Source organism: Homo sapiens, chromosome 7 (assembly GCF_000001405.40).
Source record: "Homo sapiens chromosome 7, GRCh38.p14 Primary Assembly".
Lineage (NCBI taxonomy): Eukaryota > Metazoa > Chordata > Mammalia > Primates > Hominidae > Homo > Homo sapiens.
This window is the reverse complement of record NC_000007.14, coordinates 157,300,584-157,328,155: the sequence shown is the minus strand read 5'-3', so window position 1 is coordinate 157,328,155 and position 27,572 is coordinate 157,300,584. Positions and strand designations below refer to the sequence as shown.

General features: G+C 49.6%; 13 annotated features.

Annotated features, from left to right (window-relative positions):
- Positions 9,504 to 9,553: an enhancer, noted in NCBI's record as "active region_26925". NCBI's record gives its function as "activates an Ori minimal core promoter by ATAC-STARR-seq in GM12878 lymphoblastoid cells {active_cell/tissue: GM12878}" and the evidence as "EXISTENCE:reporter gene assay evidence [ECO:0000049][PMID:35858748]".
- Positions 11,587 to 11,881: a silencer, noted in NCBI's record as "tiled region #5385; K562 Repressive DNase matched - State 10:DNaseD". NCBI's record gives its function as "represses a minimal TATA promoter and a strong SV40 promoter by Sharpr-MPRA in K562 cells {active_cell/tissue: K562}" and the evidence as "EXISTENCE:reporter gene assay evidence [ECO:0000049][PMID:27701403]".
- Positions 16,714 to 17,253: an enhancer, noted in NCBI's record as "NANOG-H3K27ac-H3K4me1 hESC enhancer chr7:157103597-157104136 (GRCh37/hg19 assembly coordinates)". NCBI's record gives its function as "activates a minimal SCP1, AML or CMV promoter by ChIP-STARR-seq in naive H9 embryonic stem cells {active_cell/tissue: H9 hESC(naive)}" and the evidence as "EXISTENCE:reporter gene assay evidence [ECO:0000049][PMID:30033119]".
- Positions 17,254 to 17,795: an enhancer, noted in NCBI's record as "OCT4-NANOG-H3K27ac-H3K4me1 hESC enhancer chr7:157103055-157103596 (GRCh37/hg19 assembly coordinates)". NCBI's record gives its function as "activates a minimal SCP1, AML or CMV promoter by ChIP-STARR-seq in naive and primed H9 embryonic stem cells {active_cell/tissue: H9 hESC(naive and primed)}" and the evidence as "EXISTENCE:reporter gene assay evidence [ECO:0000049][PMID:30033119]".
- Positions 17,254 to 18,335: a biological region, named in NCBI's record as "OCT4-NANOG-H3K27ac-H3K4me1 hESC enhancers GRCh37_chr7:157102515-157103054 and GRCh37_chr7:157103055-157103596".
- Positions 17,547 to 17,841: a silencer, noted in NCBI's record as "tiled region #8406; K562 Repressive non-DNase unmatched - State 23:Low". NCBI's record gives its function as "represses a minimal TATA promoter and a strong SV40 promoter by Sharpr-MPRA in K562 cells {active_cell/tissue: K562}" and the evidence as "EXISTENCE:reporter gene assay evidence [ECO:0000049][PMID:27701403]".
- Positions 17,796 to 18,335: an enhancer, noted in NCBI's record as "OCT4-NANOG-H3K27ac-H3K4me1 hESC enhancer chr7:157102515-157103054 (GRCh37/hg19 assembly coordinates)". NCBI's record gives its function as "activates a minimal SCP1, AML or CMV promoter by ChIP-STARR-seq in naive and primed H9 embryonic stem cells {active_cell/tissue: H9 hESC(naive and primed)}" and the evidence as "EXISTENCE:reporter gene assay evidence [ECO:0000049][PMID:30033119]".
- Positions 18,336 to 18,877: an enhancer, noted in NCBI's record as "NANOG-H3K27ac-H3K4me1 hESC enhancer chr7:157101973-157102514 (GRCh37/hg19 assembly coordinates)". NCBI's record gives its function as "activates a minimal SCP1, AML or CMV promoter by ChIP-STARR-seq in naive and primed H9 embryonic stem cells {active_cell/tissue: H9 hESC(naive and primed)}" and the evidence as "EXISTENCE:reporter gene assay evidence [ECO:0000049][PMID:30033119]".
- Positions 18,878 to 19,417: an enhancer, noted in NCBI's record as "NANOG-H3K27ac-H3K4me1 hESC enhancer chr7:157101433-157101972 (GRCh37/hg19 assembly coordinates)". NCBI's record gives its function as "activates a minimal SCP1, AML or CMV promoter by ChIP-STARR-seq in primed H9 embryonic stem cells {active_cell/tissue: H9 hESC(primed)}" and the evidence as "EXISTENCE:reporter gene assay evidence [ECO:0000049][PMID:30033119]".
- Positions 19,418 to 19,959: an enhancer, noted in NCBI's record as "H3K27ac-H3K4me1 hESC enhancer chr7:157100891-157101432 (GRCh37/hg19 assembly coordinates)". NCBI's record gives its function as "activates a minimal SCP1, AML or CMV promoter by ChIP-STARR-seq in primed H9 embryonic stem cells {active_cell/tissue: H9 hESC(primed)}" and the evidence as "EXISTENCE:reporter gene assay evidence [ECO:0000049][PMID:30033119]".
- Positions 25,216 to 25,485: an enhancer, noted in NCBI's record as "active region_26924". NCBI's record gives its function as "activates an Ori minimal core promoter by ATAC-STARR-seq in GM12878 lymphoblastoid cells {active_cell/tissue: GM12878}" and the evidence as "EXISTENCE:reporter gene assay evidence [ECO:0000049][PMID:35858748]".
- Positions 25,696 to 25,825: an enhancer, noted in NCBI's record as "active region_26923". NCBI's record gives its function as "activates an Ori minimal core promoter by ATAC-STARR-seq in GM12878 lymphoblastoid cells {active_cell/tissue: GM12878}" and the evidence as "EXISTENCE:reporter gene assay evidence [ECO:0000049][PMID:35858748]".
- Positions 26,407 to 26,701: a silencer, noted in NCBI's record as "tiled region #5233; HepG2 Repressive non-DNase unmatched - State 3:PromF, and K562 Repressive DNase matched - State 9:DNaseU". NCBI's record gives its function as "represses a minimal TATA promoter and a strong SV40 promoter by Sharpr-MPRA in HepG2 and K562 cells {active_cell/tissue: HepG2 | K562}" and the evidence as "EXISTENCE:reporter gene assay evidence [ECO:0000049][PMID:27701403]".

Sequence of the window (27,572 nt, the reverse complement as noted above, 5' to 3'; positions counted from 1 at the left end):
GCCCAGGCTGTAGTGCAGTGGTGCGATCTTGGCTCACTGCAACCTCCGCCTTCTGGGTTCAAGCGATTCTCCCGCCTAGGCCTCCCAAATAGCTGGGACTACAGGCGCGTGCCACCACGCCCTGCTAATTTTTTGTATTTTTAGTAGAGACAAGGTTTCATCATGTTAGCCAGGATGGTCTTGATCTCCTGACCTCGTGATCCTCTCGCCTCGGTCTCCCAAATTGCTGGGATTACAGGCGTGAGCCACCGCACCCAGCCAATAAATAAGCTTTAAATAATGAATCCCAAGGTTCTAGCGGGTGCCTTACAGAGCCTCTGAAGCAATGACTGAAGAGGCCACCTTGGATAAAATGAAACACTAACCCCAAGCGTGGCAAGGCTTGTCACCATCGTCACTGTGCCCACTTCAGAACAGGCATCACTCCTTCAGCCTGGCCAACCTGGCGAAACCTTCTCTCTACTAAAAATACAGCAATTAGCTGGGCGTAGTGGCACACACCTGTAATCCCAGCAGTTTGGGAGGCTGAGGCAGGTGGATCACCTGGGGTCAGGATTTCAAGACCAGCCTGGTTAACATGGCAAAACCTCATCTCTACTAAAAATACAAAACTTAGCTGGGGCCGGGCAAGGTGGCTCACACCTGTAATGCCAGCACTTTGGGAGGCTGAGGCGGGCTGATCACGAGGTCAGTAGATCAAGACCATCCTGGCTAATATGGTAAAACCCCATCTCTACTAAAAATAAAAAAATTAGCTGGGCATGGTGGCAGGCACCTATAATCCCAGCTACTCGGGAGGCTGAGGCAGGGGAATTGCTTGAACCCGGCAGGCAGAGGTTGCAGTGAGCCGAGGTCGCACCACTGCACCACTGTACTCCAACCTGGGCGACAGAGTGAGACTCCGTCTCAAAAAAATCAAACAAACAAAAAAAACTTAGCTGGGTGTGATGGCAATCCCAACTACTTGGGAGGATGAGGCAGGAGAATCACTTGAATACGGAAGGCGGAGGTTGCAATGAGCTGAGATTGCGCCACTGCGCTCCAGCCTGGGTGATACAGCAAGACTCCATCTCAAAAAAAAAAAGAAAAACTAACTAAAAAAACAAAACAAAAAATAGGCATCATCCCGTTCCCCAACCCAGAAGGAAGGAGACAGAAGAAAATCTTCTGGCCGGGCGTGGTGGCTCACCCCTGTAATCCCAGCACTTTGGGAGGCCGAGGTGGGCGGATCACGAGGTCAGGAGATCGAGACCAGCCTGGCTAACACAGTGAGACCCCATCTCTACTAAAAATACAAAAAATTAGCTGGGTGTGGTGGCGAGCACCTGTAGTCCCACCTCCTTGGGAAGCTGAGGCAGGAGATTGGCGTGAACCCGGAAGGTGGAGCTTGCAGTGAGCCGAGATTGTACCACTGCACTACAGCCTGGGTGACAGAACGAGATTCCATTTCAAAAAAAAAAAAAAGAAAATTTTTCCTTTTTTGAGACAAGGTCTCACTCTTCCCAGGCTGGAGTGCAGTGGCACGACCACAGCTCACTGTAGCCTTGACCTCCCAGGCTCAAGCAATCCTCCCACCTCAGCCTCCTGAGTAGCTGGACAAGCCTGGCTAATTTTTTATGTTTTTTTTTGTAGAGACATGGTCTCACTTTGTTGCCTAAACTGGTGTTGAACTCCTGGGCTCAATGAATCCACCCACCTCAGCCTCCCAAAATGTTGGGATTACAGGCGTGAGCCACTGTACCCAACAAGAAAATCTTAAAGTCAAACTGAAAGGCTGTCTCTCCCCAAGCCAACCGCACCCCACCCCACGCGACAGTCAGCCTAACATTGAATAGCTGAAGTTCCAGACTGTGGGTCAGGGGATCTGCACTGTACGCCATGGGACAAATTGACCTCGTTTTCTTTTTTTTTTTTTTTTTTTTGAGACGGAGTCTAGCTCTGTTGCCCAGGCTGGAGTGCAGCGGCTGGATCTCGGCTCACTGCAAGCTCCACCTCCCAGGTTCACGCCATTCTCCTGCCTCAGCCTCCCAAGTAGCTGGGACTACAGGTGCCCGCCACCATGCCCAGCTAATTTTTTTGTATTTTTTTTTAGTAGAGACAGGGTTTCACCGTGTTAGCCAAGATGGTCTTGATCTCCTGAACTCGTGATCCGCCCACCTTGGCCTCCCAAAGTGCTGGGATTACAGGTGTGAGCCACCGCACCTGGCCTTGACCTCGTTTTCTTTGAATGAATGCTAACAAACAGGGTAAGAGAAATTCAATGACCAGTGAAAACATTCATTGGTATCTCTGCTTCCATTGACCCACCATTGCCACACAGGACCCTGTACGGGTTTCTTCCCAGAGAGCCCTGGCGCTCCAGGAACTTCCGTTTGGTAGCCCTTCACTGGGGACATACACATTGGTTTCTGATGCTCACAGCGATTGCTTTCTTTTTCGTTTGCTTCTGCTCGCTGGGCACTTCTCTAATGAGTGCTTCTTCACTTCACATCATTACGGTTTGTCCGCTCTCCTCCAACCGCGAGACTCCTCCAAATCACCATGCATCATGTGTTTCTGTTACTATATGTTGTTCTTATGTTCTCATAATGCAAGGACATCAAATCTAGACATCATGCAATACCATGGACACATTACAATGAAACTCAGGGTTAAACCCTGCCTGGTACTTGAGAGCACCTAGTTAGAACCCTGTGTGGTTGTGCTTGAGACCTCAACTGTAGGAATTAGTTCACTGAGAAAAGTGGTTGTTGCTGCCTCTTTAAATTTTTAAGCATGGCTACTCTGGGAGTGCTGCCTTTGGGTTAGCCCTGCTTTATAAGGAGCAGTCAAAAGAAAAAAAGAAATTAAAAAGAAAAATCAGCTGGGCACGGTGGCTCACACCTGTAATCCCAGCACTTTGGGAGCCCAAGGTGGGTGGATCACCTGCGGTCAGGAGTTCGAGACTAGCCTGGCCAACATGGTGAAACTCCATCTCTACTAAAAATACAAAAATTAGCCGAGCACGGAGGCAGGTGCCTGTAATCCCAGCTACTGGGGAGGCTGAAGCAGGAGAATCACTTGAACCCAGGAGGCGGAGGTTGCAGTGAGCCAAGATCGCGCCATCGCAGTCCAGCCTGGGCGACAAGAGTGAGACTCCATCTAAAAAAAAAAAAAAAAAAAAAAAAAAATTAGGCATAATTTTCTTATCTCCAGCTTGATGACATTGGAATATTAAGAGTATCTCGGCTGGGTGCAGTGGCTCACTCCTGTAATCCCAGCACTTTGGGAGGCTGAGGCGGGTGGATCACCTGAGGTCAGGAGTTCAAGACCAGCCTGACCAACATGGTGAAACCCCGTCTCTACTAAAAATACAAAAATTAGCCAGGCACAGTGGTGCACACCTCTAATCCCAGCTACTCAGGAGGCTGAGGCAGGAGAATCGCTTGAACCTGGGAGGCAGAGGTTGCAGTGAGCCGAGATCGCACCACTGCACGCCAGCCTGGGCGACAGAGCAAGACTCTGTCTCAAAAAAAAAAAAAAAAGAGAGTATCTCTAGGCCGGGCACAGTGGCTCACCCCTGTAATCCCAGCACTTTGGGAGGCCGAGGGGGGTGGATCACTTGAGGTCAAGAGTTTGAGACCAGCCTGGCCAACATGGTGAAACCCCATCTCTACTAAAAATACAAAAATTAGCTGGGTGTGGTGGTGAGCACATGTAATCCCACCCACTCGGGAGGCCGAGGCAGGAGAATTGCTTGAACTTGGGAGGCAGAGGTTGCAGTGAGATGAGATCACACCATTGCACTCCAGCCTGGGCAACAAGAGCAAAAACTCCATCTCAAAAAAAAGAAAACACAAAACAAGTATCTCTATACAATTCTAATACAGAGGCCAGGTGCAGTGGCTCACGCCTGTAATCCTTGCACTTTGGGAGGCCAAGGCGGGCAGATTGCCTGAGCTCAGGAGTTCGAGACCAGCCTGGGCAACATGGTGAAACCCCATCTCTACTAAAACACACACACAAATTCCAATAGAGAAAGCAATGCAAACACTATCACCAAGTGGGTTCCCTCTAATACTAAACTAATAGTAGTCACCCATTTTAGAGAATAGGTAAGGTTTAAAAGGAAGAAAAAGAGTATCTTGGGGAACAACAGCATAGGGCTTACGTGAGAGAGGAGAATGCGAGGAGGGAAAGCTTCAGGAAAAAAACAAATGCTGGAGGCCAGCGCGGCGGCTCACACCTGTAATCCCAGCCCTTTGGGAGGCCAATGCAGGCAGATCACATGAGGTGAGACCAGCCTGGCCAACATGGTGAAATCCTGTGTCTACTAAAAATACAAAAATTAGCCAGGCATGGTGGCGGGTGCCTCCGTATCTCAGCTACTTGGGAGGCTGAGGCAGGAAAATCGCTTGAACCCAGGAGGCAGAGGTTGAAGTAAGCCAAGATTGCACTACTGTACTCCAGCTTGGGCAACAGAGGGAGACTGTGTCTCAGAACAAAAATTTAAAAAAAGAAAAATTGGTTGGGCATGGTGGCACGTGACTGTAGTCTCAGTAACTAGAGAGGCTAAAGTGGGAGGATAGGTTGAGTCTGGAAGGTCAAGCCTGCAGCGAGCTGAGATCACACCACTGTACTCCATCCTGAGTGACAGAGTGAGACCCTGTCTCAAAAACAAAACAAAACAAACAAAAAAGTTCAGCTGGGACCAACACTGAAGCCCCAGGAGGCTCCAGTTAGTTTCACAGACACCGTCCCTTTCAACAGAGCTGAGCCTTAAGACCTGCCATCTGCCCTAGAAATATGTTGAATCTGTGTTAGCACTTCAAATTCCGATTCGATAAAATATTTACTGCTTTCAAATTATTATAATTTTCAATTATAATCAATTTAATTGAAATAATTTTTTATTTGTATTTATTTTTTTTAAATATATTTTTTACACAGTCTCACCACGTTGCCCAAGCTAGAATGAAGTGCGTGCTCACGGCTCTCTGCAGCCTCCATCTCCCCAGCTCAAGTGATCCTCCCACCTCGGCTTCCTGAGTAGCTACGACAACAGGCATGTGCCTGTTTTTGATTTGTTCATTTATTTATTATTTATTTATTGAGACAGAATCTCGCTCTGTCGCCCAGGCTGGTGTACAGTGGCATGATCTCAGCCCCCAGTAACCTGCACCTCCTGGGTTCAAGTGATTCTCATGCCTCAGCCTCCTGAGTAGCTGGGATTACAGGCACATGCCACCATGCCCAGCTAATTTTTGTATTTTTAGTAGAGACGGGGTTTCTCCATGTTGGCCAGGGTGGTCTCGAACTCCCGACTTCAGGTGATCCACAAGCCTCGGCCTCCCAAAGTGCTGAGATTACAGACATGAGCCATCGCACCCGGCCAAATTTCTATTGAAGAGATATTCCCTACCCTTCCCAGAACAAAGTATGGGACCAAATCATTATTTTGATATAAAGTAATACATGTTTGAGCTCCTTTTTTTTTTTTTTTTGAGATGGAGTCTCTCTCTGATGCCCAGGCTAGAGTGCGGTGGTGCAATCTCAGCTCACTGCAAGCTCCGCCTCCTGGGTTCACGCCATTCTCCTGCCTCAGCCTCCCAAGTAGCTGGGACTACAGGCGCCAGCCACCACGCCCGGCTAATTTTTTTTGTATTTTTAGTAGAGACTGGGTTTCACCGTAGCCAGGATGGTCTCGATCTCCTGACCTCGTGATCTGCCCACCTTGGCCTACCAAAGTGCTGGTATTACAGGGGTGAGCCACCGCACTTGGCCATGTTTGAGCTCCTGACCTTGCTGAGGGCTTTCTATTTTATCAGTTAAAATTTAGTTGCTCATAACTGAAATTAATTCTGTATTTATTTGTTTTATTTATTTTTTTGAGACGGAGTCTCACTCTGTCACCAGGCTAGAGTGCAGTGGCTCCATCTCAGCTTACTGCAACCTCTGCCTCCCGAATTCAAGCAATTCTCCTGCCTCAGCCTCCCGAGTAGCTGGGACTACAGGCATGCATCACCACGCCCAGCTAAGTTTTGTGTGTTTAGTAGAGACAGGGTTTCACCATGTTGGCCAGGATGGTCTCAATCTCTTGACCTCATGATATGCCCACCTCGGCCTCCCAAAGTGCTGGGATTACAGGCATGAGTCACCACGCCCGGCCTAATTCTGTATTTCATATGTTTTGCAAATTGGCATTCACTGTGATTTCAATATCATTCATAGTAGTAATAATAATACCAAGTATATAAGGGCTGCCATCAAAAAATGCAAGAGTTTTATTCTAAAAATTTTATTTCCGCTGGATGCAGGGGCTCATCCCTATAATCCCAGCACTTTGGGAAACCGAGACGGGAGGATAGCTTGAGCTCAGGAGTTCAAGACCAGGCTGAGTAACATAGTGAGACCCCATTTCTACCAAACTTTTGAAAATTAGGTGGCCCAGCACAGTGGCTTATGCCTGTAATCCCAGCATTTTGGGAGGCCGAGGCAGACAGATCACTTGAGGTCAGGAGTTTGAGACCAGCCTGGCCAACATGGTGAAACCCCATTTCTACTAAAAATGCAAAAATTAGCCAGGCATGGTGGTGCATGCCTGTAATCCCAGCTACTCGGGAGGCTGAGGCATAAGAATCACTTGAACCCAGGAGGTGGAGGTTGCAGTGACCTGAGATCACACCACTCCACTCCAGCCTGGGCGAGAGTGAGACTCTATCTCCAAAAATAAACATAAAAATAAATATCCCTACCTTGCACTGTATACAAACATTAACTCAAGAGAGATCACAAACTCAAATGAAAATCTGAAACAATAACACTTCTAGAAGAAAACAGGTGAAAATAATTGAGACTTTCTGGGAGGCAGAGTTTTTTTGCTCAGGATACCAAAAGCATTTGCCATAAAAGAAAAAAATTCATGGCTGGGCGCAGAGGCTTATGCCTGTAATCCCAGCACTTTGGGAGGCCGAGGCGGGAGGATCGCAAGGTCAAAAGTTCAAGACCAGCCTGGCCAAGCTGGTGAAACACCGCCTACACTAAAAATACAAAAATTAGCCGGGCACGGTGGCAGGTACCTGTAATCCCAGCTATTAGGGAGGCTGAGGCAGGAGAATCGCTTGAACCCGGGGGTCAAAGGTTGCAGTGAGCCAAGACTGTGCCACTGCTCTCCAGCCTGGGCAACAGAATGAGACTCTGTCTCAAAAAAAAAAAAAAAAAAGAAAATTCATAAATTAGATCTCTTCAAAATTAAACACTTTCACTTTCCAAAAACCACAGTATAAAAATGAAAAAGCCAGGCTCTGAGCCCAGAGTTCTGGGCTCAGAATGCTGTGGTGGCTTCCACCTGCAGTTCCAGCTGCTTGAAGGTCTGAGGCAATAGGATCACTGAGCACAGGAGTCTGAGACCAGCCTCAGCAACAACAACAACAACAAAAGACAAGCCCAGGCCGGGGGCGGTAGCTCAAGCCTGTAATCCCAACACTTTGGGAGGCCAAGGCGGGCAGCTGATGAGGTCAGGAGTTCCAGACCAGCCTGATCAACATGTTGAAACCCCGTCTCTACTAAAAATACAAAAAAAAAATTAGCCAGGCTTGGTGGCGTGCGCCTGTAATCCCAGCTACTCAGGAGGCTGAGGCAGGAGAATCACTTGAACCCAGGAAACGGAGGTTGCAGTGAGCTGAAATGGCACGACTGCACTGCAGCCTGGGCAACAGAGCGAGACTCCATCTCAAAGACAAGCCCAAGGCCAAGCAGGGTGGCTCAAGCCTGTAACGCCAGCACTTTGGGAGGCCGAGGCAGGTGGATCAGGACTTGAGGTCAGGAGTTCAAGACCAGCCTGGCCAACATGGCAAAACCCTGTCTCTACTGAAAATACAAACATTAACCAGGTGTCGTGGTGCTTGCCTTTAATCCCAGCTACTCAGGAGGCTGAGGTATGAGAATCACTTGAACCCATAAGGTGGAGGTTGCAGTGAGCTGGGATGGAGCCACTGCACTCCAGCCTCGGCTACAGAGGAAGTCTCTGTCTCAACAAAATAAAACAAAGACAGCCCTAGACTGAGCTGGACCCAGGACGAGATGCAGGGGTGACCTTCCAGGCCCAATCATAGCTCAGGATGAGATCCTGGGGTGACCTTCCAGGCCCAATCATAGCTCAGGATGAGATCCTCGGGGTGACCTTCCAGGCTAACCATAGCTCAGGATGAGATCCTCGGGGTGACCTTCCAGGCCAACCATAGCTCCATGCATAACCTATGCCACTTGTGGCCTCTCTCGCGGGACATGTAGTCCCCTGTTATAAACTGTCCCTACCAGTAGCCTTCAGGTCCCTGCCCGGGCTCTAAAAGGTCATCAGGGTGAGCAGACACGGGGGAGCTTTACAGAGGAGGTGGGTGTTTGCAATAATTTTCATCCACACTTCTCCAAATGGAAGGGGCTGCCTCATGAAGTAATGAGAGGAGTCAAACTCAGAGCAGACTAATCTCTGTTATGCTATTTGAGAGAAAATTCAAACCATGAGGGTTAAACCAGAAGTACTAGACGTCCTGCCAATTCAAAACTCTGGTGCCGATCACAATGGTGTGCTCAAAGAGGCCAGGGTGCAGAGGACCTGGCTCCCTTTCCTTCCAGTCAACTCTGCATCTCTTTGTATTTTTATTTTTATTTATTTATTTTTGTTTTGAGATGGAGTTTTGCTCTTGTTGCCCAGGCTGGAGTGCAATGGCGCAATCTTGGTGCACCGCAACCTCCGCGTCCTGGGTTCAAGCAATTCTCCTGCCTCAGCCTCCCGAGTAGCTGGGATTACAGGCATGCACCACCATGCCCGGCTAATTTTGTATTTTTAGTAGAGACAGGGTTTCTCCATTTTGGTCAGGCTGGTCTCGAACTCCTGACCTCAGGTGATCCGCCTGCCTTGGTCTCCCAAAGTGCTAAAATTACAGGTGTGAGCTACCATGCCCAGCCATCTCTCTCTTTTTATAATTTAATAAAGTTTTTTTTTTTTTTGGCTGGGCGCAGTGGCTCATGCCTGTAATCCCAGAACTGTTGCCTGTCACCCAGGCTAGAGCGCAGTGGCAGGATCTCGGCTCACTGCAACCTCCACCTCCTGGGTTCAAGCGATTCTCCTGCCTCAGCCTCCTGAGTAACTGGGATTAAAGGCACCTGCCACCACACCTGGCTAATTTTTGTATTTTTATTAGAGACAGCATTTCACCATGTTGGCCAAGCTGGTCTCCAACTCCTGACCTCAGGTGATCCACCTGCCTTGGCCTCCCAAAGTGCTGGGATTACAGGCGTGAGCCACCGTGCCCAGCCGGGACATGGGATTTTAATAAAAGTCCTAAGAGTATGTAAAGTCCCTAAACAGTCCCTTTCATTTTCTTCCATGGGCCATAAATTGAGTCAGTTCTATAATGAGGCTGGACTGGCAAAGAATCAGGCAGATTTCCAGCAGGAAGGGGCGTCAGATGGTACCAGATCCAGAGGCCTCATCTTCCAAAGAGGAAACAGGTTGAGACATCCACGAAGGGATTCATGGGCAGTTCTGGATCTGGATCCGGAGAGGCAGGTGAGTGAGGTCACTGGGCCCAGAGCTTCCTCATCTCAGAGCTGAGACAGCACGCAAACAAACGCCTCCAGGAACCCTCAGCTGAGCCAGAAGGAAGTGACTGTCCTGGGCTCAGAACGCTGAGGTCTCCTCTTCATGCCTGAACCCTGAGAGTGATCAGCAGAGTGAAAGAACAGGCAGATTCTGCGGAGGAAACTAAAGCCGGGCCTTTGTTGCTCTTGCAAGCTTCTCTAGCACTCAGCCTGTCAAGCAGCGTCCCCTCCAGAGGGAATGTTTTCTCATTTTCAGTCAATTGGTAGATTTTCCCCACACTTCCCCCACTTTTTTGAAGTCTGAAATCTGGGAAATTTTCTTTTCTAGTTGATGCTCAGCCCTATGAAATGACAGGGCAGGGTTTTCCCTGTCCCTTCCCAGCAGCCACTGGGCAGGCCCTGACAAGCTCAACCTGCAGCTCAAGGGAGCCACCCGGGGCTCCTGGGCATGGCGGGGTCATCAGCGTCCAAGGGCCCAAAGCCAGGCTGCAGAGGTCCCATGCGCCAGCTGACCGTCCCTTTAACACAAAACACAAAACACTGTCCCCGTTTCTGATTTCATTTTTCAAACCTACAGAAAATTTGAAAAAATAATCAAGTGGGCTGGGTGCGGTGGCTCATGCCTGTAATCCCAGCACTCTGGGAGGCTGAGGCGGGCGGATCACAAGGTCAGGAGATCCAGACAATCCTGGCTAACACGGTGAAACCCCGTCTCTACTAACAATATAAAAAATTAGCCGGGTGTGGCGGCGGGCGCCTGTAGTCCCAGCTACTCGGGAGACTGAGGCAGGAGAATGGCATGAACCCGGGAAGCGGAGCTTGCAGTGAGCCGAGATTGCGCCACTGCACTCCAGCCTGGGCGACAGAGCGAGATTCCATCTCAAAAACAAACAAACAAAAAAATCAAGTGAACACCTGCAAACCCTTCAAAAGGTATTCACCAAGTAGTACCTTTTCTCCATAGCTTTCCTTATTTTTATTCACATATTATTATTATTATTATTCTCTGAGACAAGCTCTTGCTCTTTTGCTGCCCAGGCTGGAGTGCAGTGGCCTGATCTTGGCTCACTGCAGCCTCAACCTCCCCAGCTTAAGCGATCCTCCCACCTCAGCCTCCTGAGTAGCTGGAACCACAGGCACGCACTACCAAGCCTGGCTCATTTTTGTATTTTTAGTAGAGATAAGGTCTCACTAAGTTGCCCAGGCTGGCCTTGAACTCCTGCCCAGGAGGTCTCAAGTGATCCGCCCGCCTCAGCCTCTGAAAGTGCTAGGATTACAGGTGTAAGCCACCGTGCCCAGCCTAATTTTGTCTTTTGACACTCCTAAGAAAACATTTATTCAATAATATGGGCTGGTATATAACCCATAGGTAAGTGACCCCAGTTGTTTGAAAATTGTCTCCTTTTGTTTTGTTTTCTTTTGTTTTGTTTTTGAGACGGAGTTTCACTCTCTTCTCCCAGGCTGGAGTGCAATGGCATAATCTCGGCTCACCGCAACCTCCGCCTTGCGGGTTCAAGCAATTCTCCTGCCTCAGCCTCCCGAGTAGCTGAGACTACAGGCACCCGCCACCACGCCCAACTAATTTTTGTATTTTTAGTAGAGACAGGGTTTCGCCATGTTGGCCAGGCTGGTCTCGAACTCCTGATCTCAGGTGATCCACCCATCTCGGCCTCCCAAAACGCCGGGATTACAAGCATGAGCCACCGTACCCTCCCGGTGTCCATCAAATATTGATGGAATGAGTGAATGAACAAACGTATTCTTGGACAGTGGCTTAATTGGACATGGACACACTAGAGAGGTGTGTGACTTTTTTAGAAGATCAAAGGCTCTGGGCACTCATTGTGTAACCACCCAATGGGCTCACCTTGCCCGCTGCCCAGAGCCGATTGATCAAGTTAGGGGAATTGCAATGGAGAGAGCAGACTGTGAGGGAGACAGGAGTTTTACTATTACTCAAATCAGTCTCCCGGAGCATTCAGGGATCAGAGTTTTTAAAGTTAATTTTGTGGATAAGGGCTTGGGAAGTGGGGAGTGCTGATTGGTCGGGTTGGAGATGGACTCACAGGGGGTTGAAGTGAGGTTTTCTTGTTGTCTTCTGTTCCTGGGTGTGAGGGCTGAACTGGTTGAGTCAGATTACCTGAATGGGTGGTATCAGCGGATGCAGGGTCTCCAAAACATCTCAAGCACTGATCTTAAGTTTTACAATAGTGATGTTATCCCCAGGGGCAACTGGGGAGGTTCCGATTCTTGGAGCCAGAGGCTGTTTGACCCCCTAAACTGTAATTTCTAATCTTGCAGCTAATTTGTTAGTCATGCAAAGGCTGACAGGTCTCCAGGCCAGAAGGGGGTCTTTTTGGGAAAGGGCCATTATCAATTTTCTTTCAGATTCAAACCACAAACTTGTCTACAAAAAGAGTTAAACTCTGTAAAATATCTGAAGAGATTTATTCTGAGCCAAATATAAGTGACCATGGCCCGTGACACAGCCCCCAGGAGGTCCTGAGAACATGTGCCCGAGGTGGTTGGGGTACAGCTTGGTTTTATAGATTTTAGGGAGGCATGAGACGTCAATCAAATACATTTAAGAAATACATTGGTTTGGTCCAGGAAGGTGGGACATCTCAAAGCAAGTTAGGGGGGCAGGGTGGGCGGTGCCAAGCTATAGGAAAAATTTTTTTGTTTTGTTTTTTTTTTTTTTGGAGACAGAGTCTCTGTCGCCCGGGTTGGAATGCAGTGGTGCAATCTTGGGCTCACTGCAACCTCCACCTCCCTGGTTCAAGCGATTCTCCTGCCTCAGCTTCCCTAGTAGCTGGGCTTACAGCTACTACTGTGTTGCTGGAATATTGCAACCATTTGCAACCAATTGGTTGAATTTGTCTAAAGACCTGGGATCATAGAGAAAAATGTTCAGGTTAAGATAAAAGATTGTGGAGACCAAGGTTATTTTGAAGTCTTATAGTGGCTGCCCTTAGAGACAATAGATGACAAATGTTTCCTTTTCAGACCTCTAAAAGGCGCTAGACTCGCCGGGTGCGGTGGCTTATGCCTGTAATCCCAGCACTTTGGGAGGCCGAGGTGGGCAGATCACTTGAGGCCAGGAATTCGAGACCAGCCTGGCCAACATGGTGAAACAGCATCTCTACTATAATACAGTATTAGTCGTTCAGGGTGGTGCATGCCTGTAATCCCAGCTACTTGGGAGGCTGAGGCAGGAGAATTGCTTGAACCCGGGAGGCAGAGGTTGCAGTGAGCCGAGATCCCACCATTGTCCAGCCTGGGTGACAGAGCAAGACTCCATCTCAAAATAAATAAATAAAATAAAACGCGCTAGACTCTCAGTTAACCTCTTCAGGACTGAGGGGGCCTGGCAGAGAAAGATCTAGCTGTGTTGCTAGAGATTCTTCACAGATGCACATTTTCCCCCACAAAGGACGATTTGCAGGGCCATTTCAAAATATTGCAAAGAAACATGTTTTGGGATAAAATATTTTGATTTTCTTCTTTGTCACGTAATGTTATGCCAGAGTCAGATTGGAAAGTAAGTCATGATATATAAGGTTAAATAAGACCCATCGGATGAGAATTTCTGGTTTCCAGGGCATAACTCCCCAGGCCCCTTAGATAGGAATGGGCAAGAAAAAGAAAATCAGGCCGGGCGCGGTGGCTCACGCCTGTAATCCCAGCACTTTGGGAGGCCAAGGCGGGTGGATCACCTGAGGTCAGGAGTTCGAGACCAGCCTAGCCAAAATGGTGAAACCCCTGTCTCTACTAAAAATACAAAAAATTAGCTGGGCGTCGTGGCGTGTGCCTGTAATCCCAGCTACTTGAGAGGCTGAGGCAGAAGAATTGCTTGAACCCGGGAGGCGGAGGTTGCAGTGAGCTGAGATCACATCACTGCACGGCAGCCTGGGCAACAGAGCGAGAGTCCATCACAAAAAAAAAAGAAAGAAAAGAAAAAAGAAAAAAAATCAGAGTTTAGTTCTCAAACTGAATTGCTTCCCAAAGTTAGTTTGGCCTCCACCCAGGAATGAACAAGGACAGCTTAAATGTTAGAAGCAAGATGGAGTCGGTTGGGTCTGATCTCTTTCACTGTCTTAATTTCCTCTGTTATAGTTTTTGCAAAGGCGGTTTCAATTCAGTCCTGAGAAAGCGACCAGCACGGATCCCACGAAAGCAGCAGGAGGATGTGGGTCCCCAATGGAGTGGAGGCCTGGAAAGAGGGGACATGGGTGACGAGTCTTCGATACTGGAAGGGCAGCCTACCTGAGAGGAGCTGTTGAGGCCCCAGCCATGCCGCCCACAGTCGAGGGTGCCCTGCAGGCCTCTGGCCCCCAGGAAGGCAGGGCAGGAGTCCTGCATCCTTGCCCAGCATGGCGGCCAGAAAGGTGAGAGCCAGCAGCCGCGGGCAGAGCCACAGGCGCGCTGCAGAGCCCGCTCCCAGGGCTGGGTCGGGTTTTTATTCTCTTCCCTCACACTCACCTCCAGTTCACTTTCTGATTCAGAGAATTGACGACGTGCACCTGCGCTGCCCCATGCAGCTCTGCCGCCTCACTCTCCATCCCCAGAGATGCTCAGCCTTCGGCGTGGTGGCACACAGTGGGCTTCCAATTGTTAAAAGAGGTTAAAGGTCACGGCAGTAACACCCAAGCCAGGGATACATGTGCAGCGGTAGGTTGCTCATCTGGCCATTAGCTGGATGGACACACGATGTGTGCTTACTGGAGGCAGGAGGCAGTGGACACAGGCACATAGCCTGCCTCTCCGGACCGGCTCGGCGAGATGCTTTCCTCACTTTAGGGCACGTACAACTCGGGGCAGTTCACGAGAGGGAGGCTCTTTTAAGTAAATCCAGACGTAATCGATACATTTTACTGATGACTTAACAGAAATTATATCAGAAAAAATGGACATTGTTGAAATAATTCCAATTTAGGAAGGCCATACTTTATTTTTTTGGAGACAGGGCCTGATTCTGTCACCCAGGCTGGAGTGCAATGGTGCGATCATGGCTCAGCCTCAACCTCCCAGGCTCAGGTGATTCTCCCACCTCAGCTTCCTGAGTAGCTAGGACTACAGGTGTGCGCCACCACACCTGGCTAATTTTCTGTATTTTTTTTGGTAGCTAGGTTGCCCAGGCTGGTCTCAAACTCCTGGGCTCAAGCAGTCCTCCCACCTCAGCTTCCCAAAGTGCTGGGATGACAGGCATGAGCCACCGTGCCCAGCCAGGCCATACTTTAAATAAGATTTGTTAAATAAAGTTTATAGGAGGTGTCATGAGCCGTGCAAGGTTGGAGATAACCAGGTCCTTGCATGTTTTGTCTTTCCACAGTGTCGGGCTTCTACTGATGCTGCCTCAATCACAAAAACCATGAGCTCCATGGAGTTCGTAAGGAGACAGTTCTCCTCACCACTTCCTGGTGAGTCCGTGGTCAGAGACGTGGGCACACAGGCTCAAGCCTCTCCACAGATCAGTCAATGTTGCAAACTGAACACGATAGTGTACTTTTTTTCTTGTTTTTTTTTCTATTTTATTACTGTTATTTAAAAAATAGAGACAGGGTCTCACTACATTGCCCAGGCTTGTCTCAAACTCCTGGAATCAAGCAATCCTCCCGCCTCAACCTCCCAAAGTGCTGGGGTTACAGGCGTGATCCACCGCACCTGACCTGTAATAGTATACTTAATCAATATAGAAATGTTATAGGTTAAACATTCCACAACTTTTTTTTTTTTTTTTTGAGACAGAGTCTCACTCTGTGGCCCAAGCTGAAGTGCAGTGGCATGATCTCGGCTCACTGCAACCTCTGCATTTTTAGTAGAGATGGGGTTTCACAATGTTGGCCATGCTGGTCTCAAACTCCTGACCTCATGATCTGCCCACCTCGGCCTCCCAAAGTGCTGGGATTACAGGTGTGAGCCACCGTGCCTAGCCTCCACATTTAAGTAACATTTAAAATCAAGAGGAAACGGAGGACCAGGCATGCTGGCTCACACTTGTAATTCCAGCACTTCAAGAAGCTGAGGCAGGTGGATCACTTGAGGTCAGGAGTTCGAGACCAGCCTGGCAAATATTGTGAAACCCCGTCTCTACTAAAAATACAAAAATTAGCCAGGCATGGTAACATGTGCCTGTAATGCCAGCTACTTGGGAGGCTGAGGCAGGAGAATCACTTGAACCTGGGAGGTAGAGGTTGCAGTGAGCTGAGACTGCACCACTGCACTCCAGCCTGGGCCACAGAGTGAGACTCTGTCTCAAAAAAAAAAAAAAGGAAAAAGAGGCAGCTAGGCAGGGTGGCTCACATCTGTAATCCCAGCACTTTGGGAGGCTGGGGCAGGATGTTCACTTGCGCTCAGGAGTTCAAGACCAGCCTGGACAACTTAGTGAGACCCTGTCTCTTTTTAATTTTTATTTTAAAAATAAAAAGAAATAAAGAGGAGCCAGGCACAGCAGCTCGTGTCTGTAATCCCAGCACTTTGGGAGGCCGAGGCGGGTGAATCACCTGAGGTCAGGAATTTAAGACCAGCCTGGCCAACATGGTGAAACCCCAACTCTACTGAAAATACAAAAATTATCTGGTCATGGTGGTGAGCTCCTGTAATCCCAGCTACTCGGGAAGCTGAGGTAGGAGAATTGCTTGAACCCGGGAGACAGACATTGCAGTGAGCCAAGATCACGCCACTGCACTCCAGCGGGGTGATAGAGCAAGACTCAGAAAGGAAGGAAGGACAGAAAGAAGGGAGGAAGGGAGGGAGGGTGAGAGGGAGTGTTAATGAACCAGTCCACAGGGCGAGAAGACAAAAGGAGTCCTGGTCTCTGCTGGGAGTGCAGTGGCAGGATCCCAAGTAGCTGGGATTACAGGCTGGAGTGCAGCGGCGTGATCTTGGCTCACCGCAACCTCCGCCTCCTGGGTTCAAGCGATTCTCCTGCCTCAGCCTCCCGAGTAGCTGGGATTACAGGCGCCCGCCACCACGCCCAGCTAATTTTTGTATTTTTAGTAGAGACGGGGTTTCTCCATGTTGGTCAGGCTGGTCTTGAACTCCCCACCTCAGGTGATCCGCCCACCTCAGCCTCCCAAAGTGCTGGGATTACAGGCACGAGCCAGCGCACCCAGGCTTATTTATTAAGCAAAATGCCTCATCCTTGTTGGCAGAGTTCCCCATGAAATAGAAAATGGAGTCTTTTTCCAAGATGGAGTTCGTTGTTTTTGTTTTTTTGAGACAGGGTCTCGCTCTGTCACCCAGGCTGGAGTGCAGTGGCACGATCTCGGCTCGCTGCAGCCTCTGCCTCCCGGATTCAAGCAATCCTCTCACCTCAGCCTCCCGAGTAGCTGGAATTACAGGTGTGCGCCACCCCGCCTGGCTAAGTTTTGTATTTTTAGTAGAGACAAGGTTTCACTGTGTTGCTCGGGCCAGTCTCAAACTCCTCAAGTGATCCGCCTGTCTCGGCCTCCCACAGTGCTGGGATTACAGGTGTGAGCCCCCGCCTGGCTTCAAGATGGAGTTAGTTATGTCAAGGCTGCACTATACAGGAGTGCACTGGTTTGGCCTGAGCTCCTGCTCTAGGCCTGGTAGACCAGCCCAAAACACAGCCACTCATGCTAGAGTTCCACGTCACCAAGCCAAAACTAACTTGTTCATCTCACCTTCCAGGAAACCAGGAGACAGGGAATAGCCCCAAGCCAGCCAGGTCTTGCCAGCATGATGAGGAAGTCCCCTCTGCTGGAACCTTCCAAGGAAAACCTCTTGGAAATGACCAATCTGCTTTTTGTTCTGTGTCTGCCTCCTCAGCCCCTTTCTGTTTACAGAACCAACCTCCTCTACCCAGCACGCAGGAGCCCTCGTTCTGTTTTATAGAATGGGGTGTTTCCCAGTTCTAGAATTGCAAATAAAGCCAAGTTTGTGGTAATTTTGTCTCTATCAAATTGAAAACAAGGAAACTTTCATTCTTTTTAATCTGGTACTTTTCCTCACTTCAGAGTGAAATAGTTTCAAATGGAAAAATCATGGCAATGATGCCTTCCATTCATAGGAAATGCAATCATAATGCTCTCATTGTTATTCTGCCAGTGGTGACAACTGCTCCTTGTGTGCTGTTAATGGAAGGGAACAATGGCTCCCATTCTGCGGGGCCTCAGGTGATCTAGGTAAGATGAACTAACCTGAGAGGCAAGGAAACCTCTCGTGTGGCTCTCACTCCACCAAGATACCAGATTGTGGCTGCTGGACCGACTCTGCATTCCTTTCCCTTTAGATTTATAATTTCAGTATGGGTCTCAGCCTTCTCCTCCACCAGCCGTAACATCCTCACTTCCTAGGCTCCCAGCCTCATTCATTTCCCAAATATTTATGTTATTACCACAATTTATGAGTCATGACTGTGGAGTCAGACAGAGCCCTGAACCCAGTTGGAGAATCTTTAAATACCTGAAGTTCCAAAGAACTGCAAATGCATCTGAAGCTGCGGAGAAATTTAACCGCAATCTTTGGGGGATGGCGGGGCTGGCCTCCCCAGAATGGCTGGACGATCTGAGAGCCATCTCCGTGTCCCTGATCAGGTGGTGGGTGCTCCCTGGTCTCGACCAGGGGTCTTTCTGGTCACTAGAGAACCCAGGGTACTGGGACGGAAACCTCAGCCCATTCGAGTTGGAAAGCATAACTTTTCCAAGTGGAAACTGCCAGTGTCCTCCAGGGAGCATCTTCCCTTTGTTCTTCAGAACTAAGCCCTGGGTTCTAGGTTCTTGGCTGGCATTGCTTGTGGCTGGGTGTGGCCACAGAACGAGGTCAGGCCCAGGGTTGAGCGTGATGCAGCAGAGGCCCATGTTTCACTGATTCTTCCCCTCCTGCAGCCTGAAATGTACAGTTGGGTCCCGAAGCCCCGGCCCTGTGTGAGCAGGGCTGCTGCCCAAGCCTCACCTACCTCCCTGCAGCTGTCTGGGTGAGAGAGGCAGGGACCGCAGTGTTAGGTGGGCTCCTGGTACCACGGGTCTCCGCTACTCACAGGTGGCCCCGTGTGTCCTACAGTGGGAAAGACCTCGCGATGAAGGAAAGTTAGGATCGAGTGTGGAAATGACAACATGACATGAGCTCGGAAAGGGCCAGCCCCTGTGACGAGTGCTGGGCAAAGAGAATTTACAACAAGCTGTCCAGCTGGAGGGAGGAAAAGCCTGTGCTTCCTTCCACCCCTGCTGGTTCTTTGGCTGGTCTAGGAATTAAATTGACATAGAACGGATTTAACAGGTGAAAATCATTCTAATTCCACACACATGCCTGGGAGTACTGTCAGAGGCATTTCACCCAGAGCGACTCCATCTGGAACAGGGGCTGGTAAAATGAGGCTGACACCTACTGGGCTGCATTCCCAGGAGGGTCAGCATTCCAAGTCACCAGATGAGATAGGAAGTGGCACAAGATACAGGTCACAAAGGCCTTGCTGATGAAACAGGATGCGGTAAAGAAGCCACCTAAGGCCGGGCGCGGTGGCTCACGCCTGTAATCCCAGCACGTTGGGAGGCTGAGGCAAGCGGATCAACTGAGGTCGGGAGTTCGAGACCAGCCTGACCAACATGGAGAAACCCCGTCTCTACTAAAAATACAAAATTAGCCGGGCGTGGTGGCGCATGCCTGTAATCCCAGCTACTAGGGAGGCTGAGGCAGGAGAATCGCTTGAACCCGGGAGGCAGAGGTTACAGTGAGCCAAGATCGTGCCACTACACTCCAGCCTGGGCAACAGAGCGAAACTCCATCTCAAAAAAAAAAAAAAAAAAAAAAGCCATCTAAAACCCACAAATACCGAGATGAAAGTGATTTCTGGTTGTCCTCACTGCTCATTATATGCTAATTTTTTTTTTTTTTTTTTTGAGACTGTGTCTCGCTCTGTCGCCAGGCTGGAGTGCAGTGGCGCGGTCTTGACTCACTGCAACCTCCGCCTCCTAGGTTCAAGCGATTCTCCTGCCTCAGCCTCCCAAGTAGCTGGGATTACAGGCACCTGCCACCATGCCTGGCTAATTTTTGTATTTTTTTTGAGACGGAGTCTTGCTCAGTCGCCCAGGCTGGAGTGCAGTGGTGCGATCTCAGCTCACTGCAAGCTCCGCCTCCCGGGTTCATGCCATTCTCCTGCCTCAGCCTCCTGGGTAGCTGGGACTACAGACGCCCACCCACCACGCCCGGCTAATTTTTTGTATTTTTAGTAGTGACGGGGTTTCACTGTGTTAGCCAGGATGGTCTCCATCTCCTGACCTCGTGATCCGCCCGCCTCGGTACCCCAAAGTGCTGGGATTACAAGCGCGAGCCACCGCACCCAGCCTCATTTTTGTATTTGTTTTCACCATGTTGACCAGGCTGGTCTTGAACTCCTGACCTCGTGATCCACCTGCCTCGGCCTCCCAAAGTGCTGGGATTACAGGAGTGAGCCACCTCCCCAGCCCATTATATGCTAATTATAACACATTAGCTGCTAAAAACCACTCCCGCCATTGCCTTGACAGTTTACAAATGCCATGGCAACGTCAGGAAGTTACCATATATGGTCTAGAAAGGGGAGGAACCCTCAGTTCCAGGAACTGCCCACCTCTTTTGAAGAAAACTCATGAATAATCCACCCCTTTGTTTAGCACATAATCAGTAAATAACCATAAGTATTCTTACTCAGACAGCCTAAGCTGCTGCTCTGCCTATGGAGTAGCCATTCCTTTGCTTTCCTAGTAAACTTGCTTTCACTTTACTCTATAGATTCACCTCAAATTCTTTCTTGCGTGAGATCCGGGAACCCTCTTTTGGGGTCTGGATCAGGACCCCTTCCTGGTATAGTTCCGCAGAGCTATAAGAAGCAAAGAAGGGCTGGATGACGGAGGCCTGGATGGCATTCTGAGCTACAGAAAGGAAGAGGAGTTGGGGTTTCTGGGTGTGATGGAGACAAGTTTTGGGGTGGTCCAGGAAGAATGGGTCTGGTGAACAAACGTTGCCTTGTTATGCGGAAGAAAGCCTGCAGGTGATGGGAGCAGATAATTCAGAAGCAGGGGACCGAGAAACCCAAGTCTGTCCGACGAGCAGGTGAGATGCTCACACAGCTGGTGCAGCCCTCAAAGCGCAGTCAGAGGTGTGGCCGTGAAGCGGAGTGGACAAACCAGGAGGTGGAAGCTGGTTGGAGCCTCGGGCGAGGGAGAGTTCACCTAGTTAGAGTGGCGGGGCCTCCCAAAGTGCTGGGATTACAGGCATGAGCCGCCGCGCCCGGTCAGAAAGTACATTTTTAAGAAACTCCTTGGTTGTAAAATATGACATAATTGGTCTGAGGCTACTGATGGCCAGTGTGGACCTGCACACACTCTGCTGCCTACCCTCCGGAGATGGGATGGAACAGAACCATAGTATATGTGCAGAATCGACTTTTCAAAGTTTGGGAAAATTCCGAGTTCCAAAGCACATTGGGTCCCAAGAGTTTCATGAAGGAGCTGTGGCTGCACACAGCTGGTGTCTTGTTTGGCAGATGTCGGACCTGAGGCTCTGTGTGGCCCTGGCCCAACCTCCTCTCCACGTGCATTTACTGGGATGCTGACTTAGAGAGCTGTGCTGGGTTGAGCTTTCCTAGTGGATTCAAGTCCACCAGGGCTCAGCGGGACGTCTTCAGAGACAGATGGGTTTTCTTTAACCCTATATAACGTGACTTACTTTCCAATCTGACTCTGGCATAACATTACATGACAAAGAAGAAAATCAAAATATTTTACCCCAAATCATGTTTCTTTGCCATATTTTGAAATGGCCCTGCAAAGCATCCTTTGTGGGGGAAAAATGCATCTGTAAAGAGTCTCTAGTAACATAGATCTTTTTCTTCCAGGCCCTCCCAATCCTGAAGACAGTAACTGAAAGTCTAGCACCTTTTAAAGATCTGAACAGGAAACATTTGTCATCTTTTGTCTCTAAGGGCAGCCGCGATAGATTCAAAAAAACCTTGGTCTCCACGGTCTTTGTGTGTGTGTGTGTGTGTGTGTGTGTGTGTGTGTGTGTGATGGAGTCTTGCTCTCTCGCTCAGGATGGAGTGCAGTGGCACGGTCTCGGCTCACTGCAACCTCTGCCTCCCAGGTTCAAGCAATTCTCCTGCCTCAGCCCCTCCCTAGTAGTTGGAATTACAGGTGCACGCCTCCACGCCTGGCTAATTTTTGTATTTTTAGTAGAGACAGGGTTTCACCATGTTGGCCAGGCTGGTCTTGAACTCCTGACCTCAAGTGAAACTCCTGCCTCAGCTTCCTAAAGTGCTGGGATTACCGGTGTGAGCCACTGCACCCACCCAACAATCTTTTATCTTTTTTTTTTTTTTTTTTTTGAGACAGAGTTTTGCTCTTGTTGCCCAGACTGGAGTACAGTGGCACGATCTTGGCTCACTGCAACCTTCCACCTCTGAGTTCAAGCGATTCTCCTGCCTCAGCCTCCTGAGTAGATAGGATTACGGGCATGTGCCACCACATCCGGCTGATTTTATTTATTTTTATTTATTTATTTTTTGAGACAGAGTCTCACTCTGTGGCCCAGTCTGGAGTGCAGTGGCATGATCTCAGCTCACTACAACCTCCATCTCCTGGGTTCAGGTGATTCTCCTGCCTCAGCCTCTCTAGTAGCTGGGATTACAGGAATGCACCACCACGCCCGGCTAATTTTATATTTTTAGTAGAGACGGGGTTTCACCATGTTGGTCAGGCTGGTCTCGAACTCCTGGCCTCAGGTGATCCACCTGCCTCAGCCTCCCAAAGTGCTGGGATTACAGGCGTGAGCCACTGCGCCCGGCCTACAATCTTTTATGTTAACCTGAACATTTCCTTTCTGTCGATCCCAGGTCTTTAGATAAACTCAACCAATTGTCAACCAGAAAATGTTTAAACTTACCTATAGCCTGGAAGCCCCCGCTTTGAGTCGTCCCTCCTTTCTGGACCAAACCCAAGTCTCTCTCTCTCTCTCTCTCTTTCTCTCTCTCTCTTTCTTTTTTTTTAGACGGAGTTTCGCTCTTGTCACCCAGGCTGGAGTGCAGTGGCACAATCTCGGCTTGCTGCAACCTCTGCCTCTCGGGTTCAAGCGATTCTCCGGCCTTAGTCTCCTGAGTAGCTGGGATTACAGGCGCCTGCCACCACGCCCAGCTAATTTGTTTGTATTTTTAGTAGAGACGAGGGTTTCACCATGTTGGCCAGGCTGGTCTCGAACTCCTAACCTCAGGTGATCCACCCGCCTCGGCCTCCCACAGTGCTGGGATTACAGGCGTGAGCCACTGCACGCGGCCAAAGTATTTCTTAAATGCATTTGATTGATGTCTCATGCCTCTCTAAAATGTATAAAGCTGCGCCCCAACCACCTTGGTTCCATGTTCTCAGGACCTCCTGAGGGCTGTGTCATGGGCCATGGTCACTCGTATTTGGCTCAGAATAAATTTCTTCAAATATTTTACAGTTTGACTCTTTCTTTGACATTTCCTATATGTGTGTGGTTCTTGGAATTATTTTTAAACCAGTTGTAACATCTGAACGAGTTACATGAAATCTTTTAACACATGCTCATTTTATATCTGTATGAATCACGACTATATTCTTTTTAAAAGTTATCTTTTGCTGGGGTCGAGGGTGGTGGCTCCTGCCTGTAATCCCAGCACTTTTGGAGGCTGAGGCAGGAGGATTACTTGCTGCCAGGATTTCCAGACCAGCCTGGGCAATATAACGAGACCCCATCTCTACAAAAAAAATTTAAAAATTAGCTGAGTATGGTGACGCGTGCCTGTAGTCCCAGCTACTCAGGAGGCTGAGGTGGGAGAATCTCCTGAGCCCAGGAGGCTGAGGTTGTAGTGGGCCGTGAGTGCACTACTGCACTCCAGCCTGGAGACAAGGCGAGACCCTGTCTCAACTTAAAAAAAAAAAAAAGAAGTTATCTTTTACTATCTCCTAAAGTTAAATTCCTAAAACAGAATTGCCAGGAGTGTAGGATGACTGTGTGAGCCCGGGAGCTTGAGGCTGCAGTGTGTTAAATTGATTAGGTGTCCATGCTAAATTCAGCATCAATATGGTGACCTCTGGAAGCTGGGGGCCACCAGGTTGCCCAAGGTGGGGTGAACGAGCCCATGTCAGCGGGGAACAGGAGCAGGTTAAGAGCTTCTGTGCTGACCATGGCCAGTGCCCTCCAGCCTGGGCAACATCACCAGACCCATCTCTAAAATATGAAAAGCAGGCCGGGCGCAGTGACTCATGCCTGTAATCCCAGCACTTTGGGAGGCCAAGGTGGGCGGATTACAAGGTCAGGAGTTCAAGACCAGCCTGGCCAATATGGTGAAACACCGTCTCTACCAAAAATGCAAAAATGAGCCAGGTACGGTGGCACATGCCTGTAGTCCCAGCTACTCAGGAGGCTGAGGCAGAAGAATCGCTTGAACCCGGGAGGCGGAGGTTGCAGTGAACCGAGATCCCACCACTACACTCCAGCCTGGGCGACAGAGTGAGACTCTGTCTCAAAAAGAAAAAAAAAAAAGAAAGAAAGAAACCTTGGGCTATGCTGGGCACACTGTCTACGAGGAGGACCTACCCCACAAGGAGCAGTAAAACAAAACAAAAACAACAACCACCTCAGATCCATCACAGGCTCTCCCCTTCTTCCACTTTGTCCCCGTGCACCTGCCTATGTTGGACAATTCATATGAAAGGAATCCATCTCTCTTTTCCTTTGCGACTAATTTGAATGTTATTTGATACAGCAGCATCCACATAGATTTGCAATCAGTAGCATATGTCAGTGTGAGAGACGTGACAATCAATACTCAGAGGAAGACATGCATCGTCTTTGACCTAACAATTCCACTGACAGGAACGTCTGCAGATCCATTTGCAGGAGTAGACAAAGTGAAACACATTAAATATATGCCGGGACACGCTCTGCAGCCATGGTGAGAGTGGCAGAGACTGCAGCTACCCTAAGCACTAATTCCTAAGGAACTGATGAGATGGACACAGTAGGACCATGCAATGGAGACTATGCAGCAACTGAAAAGAAGGGCAGAGGCCGGGCGCGGTGGCTCATGCCTGTAATCCCAGCACTTTGGGAAGCTGAGGCGGGCGGATCACGAGGTCAGGAGATCGAGACCATCCTGGCTAACACGGTGAAACCCCGTCTCTACTAAAAATACGAAAAAATTAGCTGGGCGTGGTGGCAGGTGCCTGTAGTCCCAGCTACTCGGGAGGCTGAGGCAGGAGAATGGCCTGAATCCAGGAGGCGGAGCTTGCAGTGAGCTGAGATTGCGCCACTGCACTCCAGCCTGGGAGACAGAGGGAGACTCCGTCTCAAAACAAACAAACAAACAAACAAACAAAAAAAGAAGGGCAGATCGGCCGGGCGCAGCGGCTCGTGCCTATAATCCCAGCATTTAGGGAGACCAAGGCAGGTGGATTGCCTGAGCTCAAGATCAGCCTGGGCGACATGAGAAAAACCCATCTCTACTAAATAAAAAATAAAAAATAAAAAATACAGGGCCGGGCGTGGTGGCTCATGCCTGTAATCCCAGCACTTTGGGAGGCCGAGGCAGGCAGATCATGAGGTCAAGAGATCGAGACCATCCTGACCAACATAGTGAAACTCCACCTCTGCTAAAAATACAAAAATTAGTTGGGCATGGTGGCTCGTGCCTGTAGTCCCAGCTACTTGAGAGGCTGAGACAGGAGAATCACTTGAACCCAGAAGGCAGAGGTTACAGCGAGCCGAGATCACACCACGACACTCCAGCCTGGACGACAGAGCGACATTCAGTCTCAAAAGAAGAAGAAGAAGAAGAAGAAGATAGAGGGAGTGGCTGGGTCAGGGTTGACATGGCCTCCTCCGAGGAAGACATACTGAATGTTCCCACCAGGAGGGAGTTGGGCTCAGAAAGACAGTCGAGCCCTGGGGCTGTGCCTGGGGCTGTGCTCACCAAGCAACGCTGATGACAAGGCGGTTTCTGGGCCACCCGACACCAGGAAGTGGGCGCCTGTGCCAGGCAGCTTCCTGTGATCTGGCTGCTGTGAACTGGAACGTTGGTGGCACGGTTTACACATACTGAGTGGTTTCCCTTACTCATCTGTTTGGGGGTTTTTGTTTTCGTGTGTTTGCTCTGGTTTCCATTTCCAGTTTTTAAAATGTGTGCCTATAATAGATAAAACGCACGTTGTCAGGAAAATTCAAAGTGTGCCCTGTCTATGATGCAGACAGGCCCCTGCAATTCCACTCGAGCTACAGGTCAGTAGCCTGAACATACACATGGGAACATACAGTTTAGACGCCCCCAGAACGGCTCTTTCACTCACTAAGGCCTCGTGGACAACCTTCCAGGCAGAACAGAAGGATCTACCGTTCTTTTTTTTTTTTTTTTTTTTTTTTTTTGAGACAGAGTCTTCCTCTGTCGCCCAGGCTGGAGTGAAGTGGCGCAATCTTGGCTGACTGCAACCTCCGCCTCCCGGGTTCAAGCGATGCGATTCTCCTGTCTTCTCCTTCTTTTGACAGATTTTTGAACTTTTCCCCAGAGGCCCTGTTATGGGCAAAACAGTGCTCTCCAAGCCCTGTGTTCAAGCCCAACTCCCAGTACCCAGAATGTGACTGTACCTGGAGACAGGGTCTCCCGAGAGATCATTAAGCCAAAAGGAGGCCATTAGGGTGGGCCCTCTTCCAATCCGATTGGGGTCCTTACCAGAAGAGATCAGGATGCAGACGTGCACAGAAGGGCCACCCTGTGAGGACACAGAGGGCCAAGGGCCATCGATCAGCAAAGGGAAGTAGCCTGGGACACAGTCGTCCTGCAGAGCCACTGAGGAACCAGCCCTGCCTACACCTTGACCTTGGCCTTCCAGACTGCAGAGTGCGAGACGCTCAATCTCTTGTTTAAGCTGCCCAGTCTGTGGGATGTTGTTCTGGCAGCCCTGCGAAAGGAATTCAGACCCTCTTAGCCAAGGGGAATAAATGCTCTAAGGTTTCATATTATATATTGGAGTCATACATTTTGTTCTTGCCATCGTATATTCAGCTGTGTTGTCTTTAAATCAACATGATCTGAATTACTTGCTAGATATATGTATGTATTTTGAGACAGGATCACTGTTACCCAGGCTGGAGTGCAGTGGTGTAATAATAGCTCTCCACACACTGCAGCCTCGAACATGGGCTCCAGCGATCTTCCTGCCCCAAGTAGCTGGGAATACAGGCATTCACCACAATGCCAGGCTAGTTTTTTGTTTGTTTGTTTGTTTTTTGACAGTTTCACTCCTGTCACCCAGGCTGGAGTGTAGTGGCGTGAACACGGCTCACTGCAGCCTTGACTTCCAGGGCTCAGGTGATCCTCCCACCGTAGCCTCCTGAGCAGCTACTTTTTTGTATTTTTTAGTAGAGATGGGTTTCACCATGTTGCCCAGGCTGGTCCCAAACTCCTGGGTTCAAGCAATTTGCCAGCCCCAAAGTGCTGGGATTACAGGCGTGAGCCACTGTTCCCGGCCTTTTTTTTTTCTTGTAGAGATGAGATCTTGCTTTGTTGTCTGGGCTGGTCTCAAACTCATGGCCTCAAGTGATCCTCCTTCCCTTGTTTGTCTTTTGCAACCCTCCATAGATGTAAAAGCCATTCTTGGTTCCAGGGCCGTGACTGCTTTCAGCCTGACAGAGGCAGGACTAATGGCATTTTTATTTCCGAACAATGCAGTGGGATGTTGGTGAGTGAATACCATGTCTTTAGACCACCAGGGAAAGTGACACGGGAGCGTGTGCAACACCGGCGTGCGCTCTCCTCCCACCGCGGGTGTTTTCTCACCAGGGTTCCTGTGCAGGAGCCTCCGCGCAGGTGGACGGAGAGAAGCTGTGTGGGGGACCCCGGCCTCCCGCTCCCCTGCAGAGCAGGCCACGTGCTGGACGCTGGGGAGCCGGCCTTCCTGGGAGGTGGACCTGGGCTCCCTGACACACGTGGGAGAATTCTGCATGCGTGTGAGAGGTTCGCATCGCTGTGCTGAGGCCTC